Here is a 21336-nt window from a genome sequence, read left to right as displayed (position 1 = left end):
TTTCTTGCCTTCTGCTAGCTTTTGAATGTGTTTGCTCTTGCTTTTCTAGTTCTTTTAATTGTGATGTTAGGGTGTCAATTTTGGATCTTTCCTGCTTTCTCTTGTAGGCATTTAGTGCTATAAATTTCCCTCTACACACTGCTTTGAATGCGTCCCAGAGATTCTGGTATGTGGTGTCTTTGTTCTCGTTGGTTTCAAAGAACATCTTTATTTCTGCCTTCATTTCGTTATGTACCCAGTAGTCATTCAGGAGCAGGTTGTTCAGTTTCCATGTAGTTGAGCGGCTTTGAGTGAGATTCTTAATCCTGAGTTCTAGTTTGATTGCACTGTGGTCTGAGAGATAGTTTGTTATAATTTCTGTTCTTTTACATTTGCTGAGGAGAGCTTTACTTCCAACTATGTGGTCAATTTTGGAATAGGTGTGGTGTGGTGCTGAAAAAAATGTATATTCTGTTGATTTGGGGTGGAGAGTTCTGTAGATGTCTATTAGGTCTGCTTGGTGCAGAGCTGAGTTCAATTCCTGGGTATCCTTGTTGACTTTCTGTCTCGTTGATCTGTCTAATGTTGACAGTGGGGTGTTAAAGTCTCCCATTATTAATGTGTGGGAGTCTAAGTCTCTTTGTAGGTCACTGAGGACTTGCTTTATGAATCTGGGTGCTCCTGTATTGGGTGCATAAATATTTAGGATAGTTAGCTCCTCTTGTTGAATTGATCCCTTTACCATTATGTAATGGCCTTCTTTGTCTCTTTTGATCTTCGTTGGTTTGAAGTCTGTTTTATCAGAGACTAGGATTGCAACCCCTGCCTTTTTTTGTTTTCCATTTGCTTGGTAGATCTTCCTCCATCCTTTTATTTTGAGCCTATGTGTGTCTCTGCACGTGAGATGGGTTTCCTGAATACAGCACACTGATGGGTCTTGACTCTTTATCCAACTTGCCAGTCTGTGTCTTTTAATTGCAGAATTTAGTCCATTTATATTTAAAGTTAATATTGTTATGTGTGAATTTGATCCTGTCATTATGATGTTAGCTGGTGATTTTGCTCATTAGTTGATGCAGTTTCTTCCTAGTCTCGATGGTCTTTACATTTTGGCATGATTTTGCAGCGGCTGGTACCGGTTGTTCCTTTCCATGTTTAGTGATTCCTTCAGGAGCTCTTTTAGGGCAGGCCTGGTGGTGACAAAATCTCTCAGCATTTGCTTGTCTATAAAGTATTTTATTTCTCCTTCACTTATGAAGCTTAGTTTGGCTGGATATGAAATTCTGGGTTGAAAATTCTTTTCTTTAAGAATGTTGAATATTGGCCCCCACTCTCTTCTGGCTTGTAGGGTTTCTGCCGAGAGATCCGCTGTTAGTCTGATGGGCTTTCCTTTGAGGGTAACCCGACCTTTCTCTCTGGCTGCCCTTAACATTTTTTCCTTCATTTCAACTTTGGTGAATCTGACAATTATGTGTCTTGCAGTTGCTCTTCTCGAGGAGTATCTTTGTGGCGTTCTCTGTATTTCCTGAATCTGAACGTTGGCCTGCCTTGCTAGATTGGGGAAGTTCTCCTGGATAATATCCTGCAGAGTGTTTTCCAACTTGGTTCCATTCTCCACATCACTTTCAGGTACACCAATCAGACGTAGATTTGGTCTTTTCACATAGTCCCATATTTCTTGGAGGCTTTGCTCATTTCTTTTTATTCTTTTTTCTCTAACCTTCCCTTCTCGCTTCATTTCATTCATTTCATCTTCCATTGCTGATACCCTTTCTTCCAGTTGATCGCATCGGCTCCTGAGGCTTCTGCATTCTTCACGTAGTTCTCGAGCCTTGGTTTTCAGCTCCATCAGCTCCTTTAAGCACTTCTCTGTATTGGTTATTCTAGTTATACATTCTTCTAAATTTTTTTCAAAGTTTTCAACTTCTTTGCCTTTGGTTTGAATGTCCTCCCGTAGCTCAGAGTAATTTGATCGTCTGAAGCCTTCTTCTCTCAGCTCGTCAAAATCATTCTCCATCCAGCTTTGTTCTGTTGCTAGTGAGGAACTGCGTTCCTTTGGAGGAGGAGAGGCGCTCTGCATTTTAGAGTTTCCAGTTTTTCTGTTCTGTTTTTTCCCCATCTTTGTGGTTTTATCTACTTTTGGTCTTTGATGATGGTGATGTACAGATGGGTTTTCGGTGTAGATGTCCTTTCTGGTTGTTAGTTTTCCTTCTAACAGACAGGACCCTCAGCTGCAGGTCTGTTGGAATACCCTGCCGTGTGAGGTGTCAGTGTGCCCCTGCTGGGGGGTGCCTCCCAGTTAGGCTGCTCGGGGGTCAGGGGTCAGGGACCCACTTGAGGAGGCAGTCTGCCCGTTCTCAGATCTCCAGCTGCGTGCTGGGAGAACCACTGCTCTCTTCAAAGCTGTCAGACAGGGACACTTAAGTCTGCAGAGGTTACTGCTGTCTTTTTGTTTGTCTGTGCCCTGCCCCCAGAGGTGGAGCCTACAGAGGCAGGCAGGCCTCCTTGAGCTGTGGTGGGCTCCACCCAGTTCGAGCTTCCCGGCTGCTTTGTTTACCTAAGCAAGCCTGGGCAATGGCGGGCGCCCCTCCCCCAGCCTCGTTGCCGCCTTGCAGTTTGATCTCAGACTGCTGTGCTAGCAATCAGCGAGATTCCGTGGGCGTAGGACCCTCTGAGCCAGGTGTGGGATATAGTCTCGTGGTGCGCCGTTTCTTAAGCCAGTCTGAAAAGCGCAATATTCGGGTGGGAGTGACCCGATTTTCCAGGTACGTCCGTCACCCCTTTCTTTGACTCGGAAAGGGAACTCCCTGACCCCTTGCACTTCCCAGGTGAGGCAATGCCTCGCCCTGCTTCGGCTTGCGCACGGTGCGCACACACACTGGCCTGCGCCCACTGTCTGGCACTCCCTATTGAGATGAACCCGGTACCTCAGATGGAAATGCAGAAATCACCCGTCTTCTGCGTCGCTCACGCTGGGAGCTGTAGACCGGAGCTGTTCCTATTCGGCCATCTTGGCTCCTCCTCGATCTTTCTTTTCATTTTTTAACTTTTGCAGTATCTTTATCAAAGTATAACTGTAACTGTACATATTTATAGGGTTCATATTGGCACTGTGATACATGCATACAATGTGTGATTATCAAATCAGGGTAATTAGAATATCCATCACCTCAAAGATTGATCATTTCCCTTGTTGGAAACATTTAAATCTTCACTTCTAGCTATTTTGAAATATACAATTAATTTTTGCTAACTACAGTCACCATACTGTGCTACAAACAGTAGAATATATTCTATCTAACTGTATTTTTGTACCCAGTAAGCAACTTCTCTTCACCTCTCCTCCCTTCCCACCTTCTGGTAAAATATTAATATTATCAGATCTGCAAATATTAGTACATATAAAGAAATAGATAAACTGCCATATAATAAGAGCAGGGGACTTCTCTACTCCCTTTTAACAATGGATACATTATCCACCAAGAAAATCAATAAGAAAACATTGGACATGAACTACAATTTAGATTAAATTATAACACACTTATACAGAATGTATATTATGTATTCAATAGCAGAAGAATACACATTATTCTCAAGCACACATGAAACCCTTTACAGGACATATCATGTGTTTAGCCACAACACAAGCCTTAGCATTTTAAAAGACTGAAATACTATCAAGCATTTCTCATGAGTACACAATATAAAACTAGAAATCAGGAAGAGAATAAATATCAGAAAATTCACAAATATATGGAAATTCAACACCATGTTTTGAAACAACCAGCGGTTCAAATAGAAAATAAAAGGGATATTAAAAATATCTTGAGACAAACAAAATGAGTATACAAGATACCAAAATGTATGGGATTTAAAAATGCAGTAATAAGACAAAAGTTTATAGCAAAAAAAAAGCCTACATCTAAAAAGAAAGAGGCTCCCAAATAAAAAAAGACATAAAATTACACTTCAAAGAACTGGAAAAAATAACACATTAGGCCTAGAGTTAGAGAAAAAAAAGAGAGAGAGAGAGAGAAATAAGATTCAGAGCAGATTTAAATAAAAGAGACAAAAAATGGAAAAGAGCAACAAAATTAAGAGTTATTGTTTTTAAAAGATAAACAAATTGACAAACAGCCTCATGAAAGACTCAAATAAAATAGAAATAAAAATGAGACATAGAAATAGAAATGAGACATTACTACTGATACCAGAGAAATACAGAGGACATAAGAGACACTTACGAACAAGAAAACACCAACAAATTGGATAAGCTAGGAGAAATGAAGAAATTCCTAGATACGTAAAATCTACCAGAACTAAACTGCACTCTAGACCAAATGGACCTAGCAGATGTTTACAGAACATTCCATCCAACAGCTGCAGAATACACATGCTTCTCAATTGCACATGGAACATTCCCTAGAATAGATCATACATCAAGCCACGTAACAAGTCTTAACAGATTTAACAAGATTAAAATTTATAGTGTATTTTATTATATAAAACTATGAATCAACAAGAGGAGGAACTTTGGAAAGTTTACTAATACATGGAAACTGAACAAAATGCTTCTGAACAACCAATCGGTAAATGATGAAATTAAAAGGCAAATTAAAAACATTTTTGAGACAAATAAAAAAATACAACATATCAAAATCTTGGGATGTAGGAAAATCAGTTCTCAAAATTCAATTTATGCCAATAAACACCTGCATCAAAAAAGTAAGATCTTAAGTAAACAACCTAATATTGCACCACAAGTAAATAGAAAAATAAGAACAAACTTCATTGAAAATTATTAAAAGAAAAGAAACAATAAAGGTTAGGGCAGAAATAAGCAAAATAGAGACAAAACGTTACAAAAGAGCAATGAAAAAAATAATTTTTTTGAAAAAATAGACAAAATAACTTAGAAACAAAAGACAAGACTCAATAAAATAAAAGATTAAAAAAGACCTTACACAACTGATGCCACAGAAATATGAAGGATCATAAAATACTGTCATTAACTATTATAAGTCAACTAATTGGAACACCTACAGGAAATGAACAAATTATTAAACACATAAAACCTACCACAACGGTATTATTAAAAAAAAAAAAAATCTGAGCACACCAATAGTGAATAAGGACGTTGAATCAGTGGTAAAAATCTCCCATCAAAAAAAGAATGTCAAGATCAAATGGCTTCAATGCTGAATTCTATCAAACATTTAAGGAAAACATTAGTAACAATTATTCTCAAACAATTACAAAATTGGAATAGAAAGAAATTACTTTAAACTCATTTTGCAAGGTCAGTATTACTCTGATATCTCCTACAAAGCTATAGTCATCCAAACAACAACTTACTGACATAAAAACAAACAGATCAATGGGGCAGAATAGAGAGCCCAGCAATAAATACATGTATTTATAGCCAATTGATTTTTGACAAATATGTCAACAACACACAATGGGGAAAGGGCGGTCTCTTCAATAAATGTTGCTGAGAAAACTAGATATCCATATGCAAAAGAATCAAGTTAGAGCCTTATCTTACACTGTAAGCAAAAATTAATTCAAAATAGATTATACTCACAAAGGTAAAAGTTAAAACAGTAAAAGTACAAAAAGAAAACATAAGAGAAAAGTGCCATGAAATTGGTCTTGGCAATGACTTTCTTGGATTTGATCCTAAAATTGCAAACAACAAAAACAAAAATAAATGTGATTGCATCAAGCTACAAAGCTTGTAAACAGCAGAGGAAACAATCAGCAGTGAAGAGACAACCTATGAAATGGAAAAAACTATTTGAAAATCATACATTTGATAAGAGGTTAAAGCCAAAAATATCTAAGTAACTCAAATAATTCTATAGTGAAAAAGAAAAAAACAAATAACTCAGTTAAAAAATGGTCCAAGGATCTGAATAGATATCACTCAAAAGAAGTCATGCATATGGCCAATTGATATATGAGAAACTGTTCAACATTATTAAGCATGAAGGGGAATGAAGATTGAAACCACAATGATATCACCTTCACATCTGTTAGAATGGCTATTATCAAGAATACGAAAGATAAGGTGAAGATATGGTAAAAAGGGATCTCTTGCACACTGTTTTTAGAAATACAAAATTAGTACAGCCATTATGAAGATTCCTCGAAAAGTTAAAAATAAAACTACTATATGATTCTGCTATCATACTACTGAGTGTGCATAAAAGAAATTGAATCACTAAGTCAAAAATATATCTGCACTTCTGTATTCACTGCAGTATTATTCAGAATAGTCAAGATACAGAGTCAACCTAAGTGTCCATCATAGATGAATGGGTAAGAAAATATGGTATATGTACACAAGAGAATACCATTCAGCCATTAAAGGGTCCTGTCATTTGCAACAGAATGGATAAACCTGGAGAGCATTACGTTAAGTGAGAAAAGCCAAGCACATAAAGACAAATAGCTCATGACTTCACTTACATGTGGAGCGTAAAAAGTCAAATTCACAGAAAAAGAGAGTAACGTGTTGATTACCAGAGGCTAGGATAGTAGTGGTGGTGTGGTGGGGAGGCAGCTGGGGAGATACTTGTCAAAGGATGAAAAATTCCAGTTGGATAGAAGGAATGAATTAAAGAAATATATTGTAGAACACGGTGACCATAGTTAATAGCAATGTCTTGTGTTCTTGAAAAATGTGGAAAAAAGCCCACTAAAGGTATATAAAAGCATTTGTTCTTCAGTGTCCTCCCTAGCCATAAACTTGTAAACTTGCATAGTAAGTGACTATTGTAAGTGTGTCCCCATAAAGGGACACAAAGTGTGTAGGGATGTGTGTGTGTGTGTCTGTGTGTGTTCAGGGGATAAGAGATTGGGAAATAGGCAAAGAAAATTCGAAAAATGGAAAAAAAAGATCTAGAGATCAGTCTGCAGCTACCTTGTATAACTGTGCCATTGAAGAAACTACCCCAAATTCCCTTTTTACAATACAGTAAATTTTATTTAATAAAAGTTTGATGAATCAACAATAAACAAATAAAATAATATGGCTATTATTAATATGTTGAAGAGAATATGAGATGAAAATAGAGATGAGAGATGAAAAGATGCAGATAGAAAAACTAGAAATATTAGAAGTAAATACATATGTCTAAAATTAATATTCAATAGAATTATAAAAGCATGAAATACTCTACCTGAAGTTAACAGCTAATAGTTTGGGATTGACGGAATGTTAGATCCAGTAGACGATCTGATTACTTGCTTGAATATGAGTTAATAAAAAATATTTAAAGAGAAGAAACATAATTGGAAGGTACAACACGTAAGATAAAAACCATAGTGAAAAGTTCTAGCATGCATGTTATTTTCACCCTGGGAGGAACACAGATTTAAAAAGGGGGGCAGAAGCAGCATAAATAATGATACCCACAGATAAATATTATTGGCAAGCTTCAAGCAAGATAAAAGTTCAATCATATCCTAGAGACATCACACTAAAATTGCTAAAACTAAAGATAAGCTTAAATGCCGCAATAAGAGGAAAAGAAGACATTTTGTTCAAATAAGCAACAATACTACTGACAGTTGACTTTTCAACATAAACTGTGAATGCTATAAGACAATTTAGGTATATCTTTAATGTGCTAAATAAAACAATAGTCAACGTAAAATCATATACCCAGAAAACATAATTTCCAAAACTAATACCAACAAAAAATTTTAATACATAAAAGAATGAGAGAATTTCTTGTCAGCAAACCTGTAGGTTTGCATTAAAAGAAGAGTTATGCAGGCAGAAGAAAATGGCCCAAATGGGAAAAATGGGCAGGAGAGTGGAAGAACAATGAAAAAAGCAATATAAGAGCACATGCAAAGGAATACAGACTGATTAAACAATAAAAGTTATGGGTGGTGGGGTTTGAGATATGCGTTTAATTATAATCCATTATAAAAACAATACAAAGAAGGGACTAAAGTAGTTAGTGTTCTAAAAGCACAGTGTCTCTAGAAAGTGGTAAAATAAGTAATTTCTACTTGACCATAATAAGTCAAAAATGCATAAACACTCAAATCGGTGTAGAAATGCATGACTACTCACCTCATAGATGGAAATGTGGAATAAAATAAGATAAAGTAAGATAAAACAGGGAGAAAGAACATAGATGAGCCAAATAACAATAATATATTCATAAAGCAAACACAAATGTGTCTGAAATTAAATTAAAGGCAACTAAAGTGCTGAAATTAAAGCATAAAGACTGACTGATTTTGTTAAAAAACAAAACTGTATTACACTTAACACATTCTCAAATGAACACGAAGAAAACACCCAAAATGAAGATGGAAAAATATATACCATGAAAAATTAAACAAAACAAAGTTGGTATAGTCGTTATGCTATTAGAATACATAGCTAATAAGGCAAGCAACTTTTCTGAAGAGTAACCTTTGATAATGACAAGGCAGCCCTTCTACTACAAATAGATCATAAAACCAGTTCTCTGGCGCATACAACAGTATTGCTTCTAATGATACATGACTTAATTTGACAGACTGAAAATAAGAATAAGGCAAATTCCAATCATCCTGGGGTATTTAAAATCAAAAGTCAAAATACTAGAAGTTCTAGAACTTCACCAAAAAGACCAGGAGAAGCAAACAGGGAAGGGACCTGTTTTTTCTCCTCTAGTCTTACAGTTTACCTCTATTGCCCCCTACTGGCAGAGTTCATGAGGTGCCAACACGCTAACAGCGATGTGGTTGTAGGGTTCACCCAATCCAGCATCCAAGATCTGAGTGCGTAGGGATGGGTTTGGAGTCAAGGGACTTAATTGGCTCAAGTATTTCAGCTTTTTTTTTTTCCACCAAATACCTCCTCTCCACCCATTTACGAATACATTTAATTCAATGTTATTCTGGTTCATTGTGCAGTCATCACATCTTCAACTGTTCTGTATTATTTTAATGTACTTGTTCAAAGCGATAAAACAACAATGTTTTATCATTGTGGAAATGAGTAGGTTATTTTACCTGTAAAGAATATTACTAAAGCAAGATAAATTATGTCAACTGGCTCAACAGCAAACACTCTTTAAAGGCAAATGATTAATTTCTATTTGGCCGTGTGATGACAACTACATATAATTCCTGCCCCTTACTTGCTCTCATATTGATAGTTTGATATACTTAACTAATATTTAGTAATACTATGCTTACAATAAATGTGAAATAAGCATTTAGATCACTGTCTGGAAGCTTTAAAAAGCTGTTAAAGTGATCTGATATTTACCCATGTAACTTTTCTTTAAGATAAACAAATAGGAGAAAGAAATACATGGTAAACATGTAAATGTGTGTTTGAATTCTAATGAACATTTCAAACTATGAGGCTATTCAGCAAGAGGGATAGAGACAATGTTATTTCATTATGCGTACATCACACAGATGAGTTGCATTTGTGTTTGGGTATGCATAAACAGCAAAAGGATGTACAGAACAGTTTTTCAAACAATTCAGAAAGAAATTTAGCTGAAGGGTTTGCGTGTTACATTAAACAAATGAAAACCAAATTGCATTTCATATTTTATTTGTAAGATCCTCCAGGCCTGCACAGAGTAGAGGACTAAATGACAAACTTTGCTTTAACCTTCATCTTGGAATTCATTTCCTACCACTCTTCCTCTTATTAAATTGAACTGTTTGTCCTAAATCTGCCTGTGTACATGGTAAACTGTAACCTAACTTAATGTGTAAACAACCTGCAACCTAACTTCAGAGCATACATTATAACAAGTAGCAAAATCTCAGCGAATCATAGCAGCCTAACCTTCAGCCAACTGTAGGCCGAAACCTGCCAAAACATCCAAATAAAGCAAACACAGAACTCTAGTCAATCAAGTTATTTCCGCATGTCATTTCCATTTCTCCAGCTATAAATATTGCCTGCAACGCCTTGTAGGATGAAGCTCTCTGCACTGCTTTTGGTCCTGAATGTTATCTGGTTCATAAATATTTTTTATTTTCTCTGCTCAAATGAACTCTGTTAAATTTAACTTGTCTAAGATTTTTCTTTTAACACTGTCTAAGTTTATATTGGGAGAAGATCTCCGAAGCAGATGTAATTGCTTTTATAACAATGTCCATCCATTTATTCTTTAAATCTCCCACCAGCATTTCCACTGTGTCTCATTATTCAGGTTTCCTACTCCATGAAGACATTATCTCGGGATACCTTTTGGTCTTCACAGAAAAAGGTTGACACACAAAGACCAAGTGATTGAACATCATAATTGGTAATTAGTTCAGGGTTTTAAAAACTGTTCCTCTGGGATACATTTTAATGTAACTAATAGCAAATCACTTCAAGATGCTCTTCCTTGGGGTCCCTTGTCCTTGAGTCAGGAACCATGCTTTTCATTGATCTTAAGTATAAATAAACCAATACTAAAGCAAGCATGAAAGAGCTCATTTGATAGCAAACTGGCAAGAGCTACTGTACTTTTAGTTTTTTACAGTGATTTAATACAGGTCACCATTTGAACATGACAATACTCTGCAAAAAACTACAGTGAGTATTTGTGGGCAGACTGTCTAATTCTTAAGTTTACCATAAAATCATGGCCTGAGTAGGGATATTTTTGAGCCAGGTAACATATTTAATTCCTTTTTAGCCATAGCGCGCACACACACACACACACACACACACACACACACACACACAATCCATCCGCGGATTGTACTTTAATTCAAAACAGGGGATTTTATGCTATCAATGTATCAAAATACTGATGATGCAAGTATTTATATTGCCTGCCAGCCTTTCAAAATTTTTCCTTTCATATCAAATATGCAAAAGTTGGAGTTTAAAAGACAGTCAACTAAATTTAGGTTAACATACTTTACCAAGTTATGGGAATGCTTGACATGTATGAGAAATTGTTTTAGAATATGTCCTTTCTTTAATTATCATAAAGACTTAGCTAAATAGTTTAAGAATTAGCTTGCAAAACTTCTCATTGTATCAGGATGCTCCAAGCTGCTTAAAACGCCTCTCAAAAATAGAACCTTACAAGGGTTTCATTTACTCATTTAGTGTTCATATTCTACCTACATATATAAGAATCTGTGACAGACTCTATAAAATGGTGAGTGGCATGTTCAGAGTTGAATTTAAAAAAAAAAAGATTTCTTCCAAAACTTAGAAAACAATGTAAATGTGAAAAATAATGTCTTCCCAAACATAGAGAATAAAATGCTTTCAGACAGGAATTGCATTGGCTTCAGATGTCCTAGGGTGACCAACTTTCCCAGGTTGCCTGAGACTGACAGGTCTCCTAGGATGTGGGTCTTTCAGTGGCAAAACTTGGACAATCCCTGGCTAACCAAGTGGTTGATTATCCTTTGTAGGGTAGGGCCATGATTTGTATGCAGGTATTGACTCTCCTTAATCTCCGCCACCTTTTCTCTTTTTACAATTTATTATACTGCCTTCACACTGATCTTCCTTTCCTACCTCTCTGATCACTTCGAAACCTAGAAAATTAAGAAGTAGCTACTTTCACTTCTTTTCTAGTACTTCAACAGTGAAGCTAAGCTGAAGAGAATGTAACATTCTCCTTAAACGATGCTTGAACTAGAATCACCTCTGACGTAGCCCTACCTAATAGAAAGTGGCCTAGAATGAAACTGTCTGACAGAAGTCATTCAGGAATATGAGAGTACGAGGAAATTTGTATCACTCTGTCCCCATAAAACACAGTGGCTGCTGTGGGGAGTTCTTAGTACCTTGCCTTAGACAACATAGGCCCTTTAAACGTGTGCCGATATTGTTTATTATGACAATGAAGATGAAAATACTTGAAGACGGAGATGATGATAATGATGTAATGGATACATAAGAATAAACTGTGCTGTTGGAGTTGACATAGGTATAACATTGGCTTATAAAATGCAACATGAGTGAATTTTGTCATTAGACTCCCTGGATTCAGATTTCCATGTCGCCAGTGTCTGACTGTGTGACAATAAGCACATTTGATAACTACCAAATTTCACCAACTACTTCATATGTAAAATAGTGACATAAATATTATTAATTTTTTTTGAGACAGAGTTTCGCTCTTGTTGCCCAGGTCGGAGTGCAATGGCGCGATCTCGGCTCACTGAAACCTCCGCCTCCCAGGTTCAAGCAATTCTCCTGCCTCAGCCTCTTGAGTAGCTGGATTACAGGCATGTGCCACCATGCCCAGCTAATTTTGTATTTTTATTAGAGATGGGGTTTCTCCATGTTAGTCAGGCTGGTCTCAAACTCCCAACCTCAGGTGATGCGCCCGTCTTGGCCTCCCAAAGTGCTGGGATTACAGGCGTGAGCCACCGCACCCGGCCCTATTAATTCTTAAACTTATCCTCATGATTCAGCAAAATAGCATGGTGAATGGCACATAAATCAAGCATCATTGTGTATTATTAGTAAATGTTTGGTGTTCTAAAGTAAGTAAACAGAATGTGACCTCAATTCACTCCTTCCAGGAAAAGGTTGCCAGTGTTTATTTGGCAGTGCACTGCATCCTGCCAGACAAAATGGTCTAAGTTTTTTCTGTATGTAGTTTTATATCACTTTCATTTTATTCTGGCAATTCTATATCACTTTCATTTTATTCTGGCAATTCATTATTATAAATAAATCCTATTGTTAAACTTAAATTGATAATGTTCTACAAACCAGGTGGTGCCTGTAAACACAGTCTCCATTTAAGATGGACAAATACTGTCTCCCTCTGAATTCATCCTCTATGATGCCTTCAGGGCTGGCTTTCTAAAACTGGGGTATGTCACATACTACTTCCTCTCTCAGAAATCTAAAATTTCTCCCTTATCGACTACTTAACAACAAAATAATTCCTTACCTTAGAATATAATAATCTCAAGTAGTCCTATCTTTTCTTATTTTTATTTTTATTTCATTATGACAGGGTCTGGCTCTGTCACCCAGGCTGCAGTGCAGTGGCACAATCTCGGCTCACTGCAACCTCCGCCTCCCAGGCTCCAGCGATTCTCCTGCCTCAGCGTCCCAAGTAGCTGGGATTACAGGCCGGCTAATTTTTGTATTTTTTGTAGAAACGAGGTCTCACTATGTTACCAAGGCTGGTTTCAAACTCCTGGGCTCAAGCCATCTGCCCACCCCAGCCTGCCAAAGTGCTGGGACTACAGGTGTGAACCACACACCAGGCCAGTTTTATTGGAATTTATCTTCTCTTTCCTCTTCCCTTTCCAATCGCACTCCTCAAAACCTGCTTACTTTTGGAGACAATACCACATTCCTGTGGACTAAAAGCAGAGTTATTCATGAGAATAAAAATTGTCCCATATAAGGGAAGATATGCAGGAGAAAGAAGAACAGTATAAATGGTAAATATAAAGGAATATTGACTAAGCAATAAAAATCACGGGTGCTAGGGTTTCAGATATCACACTCATGTTTTTGGTTAGTATTTTCATTATTTTATCCAAGACCAAATTAAGTGTGCTATGTTACTATATAAAATTGTTTTATAACTCCAATGATTTTCTCATGGTCCCAAAGAATATTAGTTTATTGTTCATTGTTTTATCACTGATGCTGAAATAACTGAGAATGTATATTACATTTTCTACATCGTCATAATCTAATAGCATAATGATTAGCATAAACTGTGGCCTTTAAATATTTAATGAATAAAGTCACCTTTATTATAATTATTATAGAATTAATTGAATTATCTTTTATTGCCCTAACCCAATCTGGTTATTCTTAAATTATTATAATATTTATTCAATCTTTTCAAATACATTTCTGGAAATTTCTTCCATTAAATAGTAAAAAACTCCCTCATTATTAACGACTGAATACTCACATACTAAAACATGATTTTTCAAAATTATATATTTGGAACTCTAAATAATAATTATTTTTACCTTTGATTGGTAGCTCAATAAGTCCCCAGAATAGGGCTAAAGATTCATATTCATTATTTAATCCTCAAAGAATCTCGGTGAGTTTACTACTGTTATCTCCATTTAACCAATGGGGATGGACTGAGGCTTGAAGAATGTCTTAAAAATGGAAGGTCACAGACAGGGTCAAGATTAGGCCATATGTATTATAATGATTCAAACTAAATTTCACTGATTTTTCTTGCCTCCAGATTTTGATCAATAGAAAATCTAAGCTAGATTAAACATAATTACTAGAGCTGAATTGATAATTTCAGAGGAGATGACCAGGGATGGACACGGCCAGGAGTAAATGGCTTTTGATTTGCAGCAAATAGAAATAGACTTTCTATTTCTGGAGAAAGACACTTTCCTGCTGATGCAGGCAGGCCCTCTTCTTCTGGATACTGTGGCTTTTTTGGAGCCTACAGTAGCATGCAAGTCAGACTAACATCAATTGCAGAATTTCAAGAGAAACTACTGACCACTGTTTGGACACCTATGGATAGAAAATAGTACATATCTCCACCTTAAGCCAATGATGGACATCCTGAACAAGGTTTTCATAGTCAGTAGATACCCTCTCCTCACAGTGAACTGTGTCACAGTGTCATTCCAGGTTCAGCCTCCTTCACACACAATAACCACCCAAACCAAGGAACCCGCAGTGAGAACAAAGTCAAGCAAACCAATGTCATAACTCCAGAGAAGGGGGTGAGGACATTACAAGAAGAAAAGAGAAACAGAATCCTCAGGTTCCCTTGCCTTTGCTCTTAACTTAGAGATGGTGGAACAGGGGTGCACTTTTCCATCTCCTGTGAACTTTAAGAATTTTTTGAAACTTGCCCTTGTGTACTTGGGACTGGGATCTCCTTCTTCATACCCTGCTTTAGGAAAATTGATCAGTAACAGTTACGTGGATAAATAACATTGATAAATAACAGTACTTACATTAATAAGTGACAGTTCTCCAAGAAAAAAAAAAACAAAGCTTTTTTCTTCAACAATGAAAGCTCAGTTTATATTTGAGTGCCTGTTTTTGGTGATTAAGATCACCAAAAAGCTGAAAGGGGTCTGTTATCTTATAAATTTATCTCAAGAAGCTTTGACGTCAGATTTATGATTAAGATGAAATGACCAGACCAGAACCGCTTACTATTTGAAAACATATTCAACACATAGTATTTTTTAAATTAGTTAATATCACTTCAGTTCAGATCTTTCAAAGATTCTAATATTTGAATTAAATTTTAAGAATCAACTATCTTGTCTATATTTTCCTCTTCCAAATCATCTCGTATTCAAAATAAAAATCCATATTCTTTCAGATCTGTCTTATATTTCTTAGTTTTTGTGTACACTTGCCATATTATTTTGTGTTTTGCTTGAAAGTATATAGTAGAAAGGTGAATAGCAAATTTTTTGGAGTCAGATGATCTAGGTGTTAATCCTGGCACTTATGAGACACACAATCTACCTACTATTATTTTTACTCCCATGCATTGTTTGCTTATCAACTACATAAAGATAAAAATATTAAAGACTCAATGTGCTTGTGAGGACAAAATTGTATCATCTCTGCAGAGGACCTAACATAGAGCCTGTCACATGTCAAAGACCCAAATAATGGTGGCTGTAACATTCCTTCAGTATGAGTAAATTAATACTAAAGCTAGAGATTCTGAAATGGATTATGGATTAGACAAAAGCTCTATTTTTTTCTTCCAGTTTAAAGAGTTAAAGATGAATTTATCAGTAGCTAAAATTTGGTTAACAAATTATTGAGGCTACAAGGCATGAGAGAGCAAAACAGACTAGATTTGTGGACGCACACTCAAAAACACTTTTTATTTATGTCTCTGTTTAGATACCAGAGGTACAATATGATCTCTGAAAACTTAAAGAACATTGATAAACATAAATTTATGACTAAATTCACAACTATTTTGAATACTTTCACTAGATTCATCTAATCATAATAGTTCCAAAAGCCATGAATTCGTGTAACTGTCTGTGCATACAAATGTACCAAAATAAATAAGCATAAAAGAAAACGGACAGCAACCAAGTGCAGTGGCTCATGCCTGTAATCCCTGCAGTTTGGGAGGTCAAGGCAGGAGGATCTCTTGAGGTCAGGAGTTTGAGACCAGCCTGGGTAAGAATGAGACCCCCATCTTTTTTAGAAAAGAAAGTAAAAGAAAACAGAAAACAGAATGCTATGGAAGTTTTGGGGGAAAATAACATAGGACACAGATTTTTCTTGTGTCCTAGAAATTATTTTCCAGAAAACTCCAGTTGCCATTTATGCTTGGGTATCCTTTAGAAATCATGGCTCTGTCTCTCTAACATCTGATATTTATTTCAATTTATTCAATGTTTAGAAATAATAAATCCAAATCTTACAGAGCTTAAATGGCCAGTCTATAGCTATGATGAAATGAAGACACAACCCTACATTTTATATTTTTAAATCCAATTATCTTGCCATTATATAACAGCAAAACAAATAGCTGGTCCAGTGAATTTTGGCAATGTGCTTCTCAAACCGATGAAAAACTACTAATACAGACATTTGATTAAATTGTTTAGTATTTGGACTGTGATACATTAGTCAATGTTCCCATGAATATACAGCCTCAAAATACTAGGTTGGGCATTTTTCATCTGAAATATCCTCACTATAATTAGCCCTGTCAGCTTGTATTATTTCAAGTATCTTTGCTCGTGTATATCTCAAGGACACCTAAATGTACCATGCAATTAACTAAATTATTGAGGTATGTAATAATTTGTATTACAGCTCCATTGGATATATATGCATATCCAGAATATATACATATGTGTGTGTATATATATATATATGTGTGTGTGTATTTAGACAAGTTTTAAGTGAAAATGATATCAAAATATTTGAAGGCATTTTGAAAATATTTTTCTTCTCAACCACTGGCTTCAGTTTGAGTCATCAATGGAGGAACATACATCAGAGAATGGGATTAGTCTGGAAAACAGAGTATATTGCCTGGAATACAGAACTCCATCAAATGGGAATTCCTGCTGCAAAGTTGTGTCCAATCAAGAATTAAGTCCCTAAGTACACACACTCCTCATGTTATCTCCTAACAACACAGGGATTCTTTCCATTTTCAGTTGTTTATTCTGTGCAATTACTGCCATTCAATCACCCAAGCAGGATGAATCACAGCGTTGTAACTGAGTTCATTATTCTGGGCCTCACCAAAAAGCCTGAACTCCAGGGAATTATCTTCCTCTTTTTTCTCATTGTCTATCTTGTGGCTTTTCTCGGCAACATGCTCATCATCATTGCCAAAATCTATAACAACACCTTGCATACGCCCATGTATGTTTTCCTTCTGACACTGGCTGTTGTGGACATCATCTGCACAACAAGCATCATACCGAAGATGCTGGGGACCATGCTAACATCAGAAAATACCATTTCATATGCAGGCTGCATGTCCCAGCTCTTCTTGTTCACATGGTCTCTGGGAGCTGAGATGGTTCTCTTCACCACCATGGCCTATGACCGCTATGTGGCCATTTGTTTCCCTCTTCATTACAGTACTATTATGAACCACCATATGTGTGTAGCCTTGCTCAGCATGGTCATGGCTATTGCAGTCACCAATTCCTGGGTGCACACAGCTCTTATCATGAGGTTGACTTTCTGTGGGCCAAACACCATTGACCACTTCTTCTGTGAGATACCCCCATTGCTGGCTTTGTCCTGTAGCCCTGTAAGAATCAATGAGGTGATGGTGTATGTTGCTGATATTACCCTGGCCATAGGGGACTTTATTCTTACCTGCATCTCCTATGGTTTTATCATTGTTGCTATTCTCCGTATCCGCACAGTAGAAGGCAAGAGGAAGGCCTTCTCAACATGCTCATCTCATCTCACAGTGGTGACCCTTTACTATTCTCCTGTAATCTACACCTATATCCGCCCTGCTTCCAGCTATACATTTGAAAGAGACAAGGTGGTAGCTGCACTCTATACTCTTGTGACTCCCACATTAAACCCGATGGTGTACAGCTTCCAGAATAGGGAGATGCAGGCAGGAATTAGGAAGGTGTTTGCATTTCTGAAACACTAGTAGTTTCAACATGCAACATCACTTCTGTACTCCAGAACCATCTTCTAGAGCATCTCAGATTTTACTGGTTTTTCATACTTACCTCCACTCCAATTTTCCCTTCCCTCTTATTCCTGCCTTCTTCCTAGCAGTCTCATTGTCTCCAAAATTCTGTACTCTTTATGTGAAGAATATTCATAAAGCAATATGCACAATACCCTCACATAAATATATGTCATAATATATATTCCAACATTTTCCAAAAATATGTACATAACTTCGAATACTTATATATGCATATACACAAATATTTACCTATATGTGCATGTGCACATCATACATGCAAATATCACAAAACATTTTGTGTATTTTGTGCCATTTATTTGTTGGTATGTGAATGTGAGCTGGAGAGAAGTAGTGTGTGTGATAAATTTTCCCTTGCTTAATAGGCTGGGTTCATTCACTTACAGCATTGTGATAATGAGGTATCTACTCTGGGGTTGAACCTCATTACGTTATTTAGATTTCATTGGAGAAAAATCGTGCTCTACTGAATAAAATTATTGGGCAAACTCTAAAGTCTCCATGTGTTCAGGAAAAAGTGACAGAATATTACTCCAGTCCTTTTAAACCAGTGAGTACACTTATGCCTCATGCAACATTAGTCTGACATTAGGCAGGCAGTCAATAGTGTGTATGGCGGTTCAATGGGTCCATCAATGAAACAGGCACCTTCAGTCATCTTGTTCTGCCCTTCAATATTGTTTTCCCTAGGATCATGAATGGCTTTTGTATTACTAGGCGTCTCATCCATAACCCAAGTAGAATGAAGGCTAAGGACAGAGATTTCATGAGGCAAATGAAGCACTGCCTATTATTTTTATAAGGATAACCCAGTAAGTATAAGCTACATCTCATTGGCTATAGCTATATTATTACACCATTTCAAGTTGTAAGTACCAATTGGAAGAGTATATTCTAAAATTAGGCACTTGGCACCCCTGAAAAAATTTGGATGTAACATAGATGGGATGAGAAATGGGTGTCTATACTATGGCAGTTGCTATGAGTATCTACTAGCAAATGTATCATAAATGCAGATTTGAAGTCACAAACTAAATCATGAAATAAAGTTAGGTTGAGAGAGTGAGAATGCCAAAACTGAGGCTACATAATAAAAATATACAATATACAACACATCTTATAACAAGTTGGAAGAAATATATCATTTGCTGTGATTAGTAAAGCATATTTTTACAATATATTTCCACAATTATGAAAACATGTTGGAATTTTGTCTTACAAATACATCTGGAGCAGTTGTGTCCATCATCAGATAAATTGATAAAGAAAATGATAAAACATTTCATGTTTTACACGTATAACATTTTGTTTTATAATTATAACATTTTGTTTTATATATGTGACATATATTAGTAACATGTTATATAACATATATAACACTTATGTTATATATAACATATTATATATAACTTTACTGTATATGTATATGTAATGTCATGTTGTTATATATATCATAAACTGTTATATATATAACCTTAGATATATGTTATATAACCTTGGATATAAACTGTTATACATATATGTTATATATATCATAAACTGTTATATATATGTATATATGCAATGTTTCATTATATGTTATATGTAACATAACTGTAATATAAGCAAATATTAAAAATCCCTTTCTGCATTATACTTTTTTTTTACTTAACAATATAATCTAGAGATAGCTTCATAATGGTCTTACATACAAATGTGCACTCACACATATATATACCTATATGTACAGATATACATATATCCACATGTGCATACATGTATTACACATTCCACAATATTTGTAATTCTTTGAACCTTTGGAATTTATTGAGACTCATTTTTAGGGTGAAATAAATTATCCATTTTTAAGTTGTTTTATATGTGCTGGTAAATAATCTCCACTCTTTTTTTGGGAGAGTATAGTATACAGTATTAGTTTAATGCATGCATTTTCAAGTTTATTAAGGTATTTACATATTTGATATTTCTGAAAATAGAATACTATTGGTTTATTTTTTAGACTATTTTGTTAGGTTCATATAATTTGTTGATATTGTGTTCTCATTTTATTTATTCTTTATGACATCTTTTTGAGATCAACTTGCATTCATTTTTTTGTAATTCAAAAATAATTGACATAAAATTTATGTATTATTGTTTACAGCCTAACATTTTGAAGTATAGATGCATTGTGGAGTGACTACATTTAGTTAATTAACATATGATATGCATTACCTCACATAATTATCATTTTCATGGTGGAAACACTGTATACCCACTCTCTTAGTATTTTTAAGAGTACAGTATATATGGTTTTCTACAGAGATAGGAAAGCCACAATGTCATACAGGAAAAAACAAATTTTGTACAAAGAGAAATAATTACAATATACTATATTTCTCTCATGAGTTCCTTAAATTATATTTTATGGTTGAAAGAAAAATTATAACAACATTAGTTGGTATAAAAAAACTATACATTGTGATGTAATAAAAATGCTATACATAAGTTAGAATCCTTAAAAATCTTAAAGAAAACATCAGAAAATCAATAAATGAAAAGCAGAGAAATAAAAGACAGAAGAAACAAACACAAAACAAATTAAAAAGTCGACAAATTGTAGCATATTAATGATTACCTTAAAAGTAAATGATGCAATAATATATGCAAATTGAAAGACAGAGATTGGACACTGGATAAAAATACATAATTGAACTATAAACTGTCTATGAGAAACTCACATAAAGTAACAAAACAAGTAGGTTGAAAGTAAAACTACAGAAGAAGTCATAGCATGTTATGTCAACAAAAAGGAGAAGTATCAATAACAACAAACATAGAAGGGTGATCAATGCACAGGCTTTACTTCTCAACAGTTTCACCAGATAGCCATAAATGGGTATTTTATTCCATTTACACAGGTTACAAATAATATAATGAAAATACTGTCATTTAAATCTTACATATTTGATAACAATATCAGAAAAATTTCCAACATAGATATATCTTTATCATATAATAGGTTATGTTGACCACTTTAGCTTATTCCCCCAGCCTTAAGGTATAGTTTACACCCACACACACACACACACACACACATATACATATATTTATAGTATGCAATGTGATGCTTTTATATAGGTATAAACTGTGAAGTTATCAAACAAAATGAATTTACATATCCATCACCTCACATAATTATCTTTTATTGTGATTACATTTAAGATTCACTCTC

The 21336-nt window shown here is 35.3% G+C and overlaps 1 protein-coding gene across 1 annotated transcript, besides 1 other annotated feature; it reads left to right on the top strand.

The window, feature by feature from the left end:
- Positions 2085 to 2686: an enhancer, noted in NCBI's record as "NANOG-H3K27ac-H3K4me1 hESC enhancer chr1:247850793-247851394 (GRCh37/hg19 assembly coordinates)". NCBI's record gives its function as "activates a minimal SCP1, AML or CMV promoter by ChIP-STARR-seq in primed H9 embryonic stem cells {active_cell/tissue: H9 hESC(primed)}" and the evidence as "EXISTENCE:reporter gene assay evidence [ECO:0000049][PMID:30033119]".
- Positions 10438 to 19365, top strand: OR13G1 (olfactory receptor family 13 subfamily G member 1). The gene is made up of 2 exons (NM_001005487.2): positions 10438 to 10537; positions 16898 to 19365. The coding sequence occupies exon 2, from the start codon at positions 17136 to 17138 to the stop codon at positions 18057 to 18059; it is 924 nt and encodes a 307-aa protein (NP_001005487.1). The 5' UTR covers positions 10438 to 10537; positions 16898 to 17135; the 3' UTR covers positions 18060 to 19365.
- Positions 19366 to 21336: the final 1971 nt, after the last annotated feature.

Source organism: Homo sapiens, chromosome 1 (genome assembly GCF_000001405.40).
Source record: "Homo sapiens chromosome 1, GRCh38.p14 Primary Assembly".
Classification (NCBI taxonomy): Eukaryota; Metazoa; Chordata; class Mammalia; order Primates; family Hominidae; genus Homo; species Homo sapiens.
This window is presented reverse-complemented; position numbering and strand designations above follow the sequence as displayed.

What these genes read in the sequence shown, in the direction of transcription:
- OR13G1 (NM_001005487.2), top strand. Translation starts at nt 17,136, where the DNA reads ATGAATCACAGCGTTGTAACTGAGTTCATTATTCTGGGCCTCACCAAA.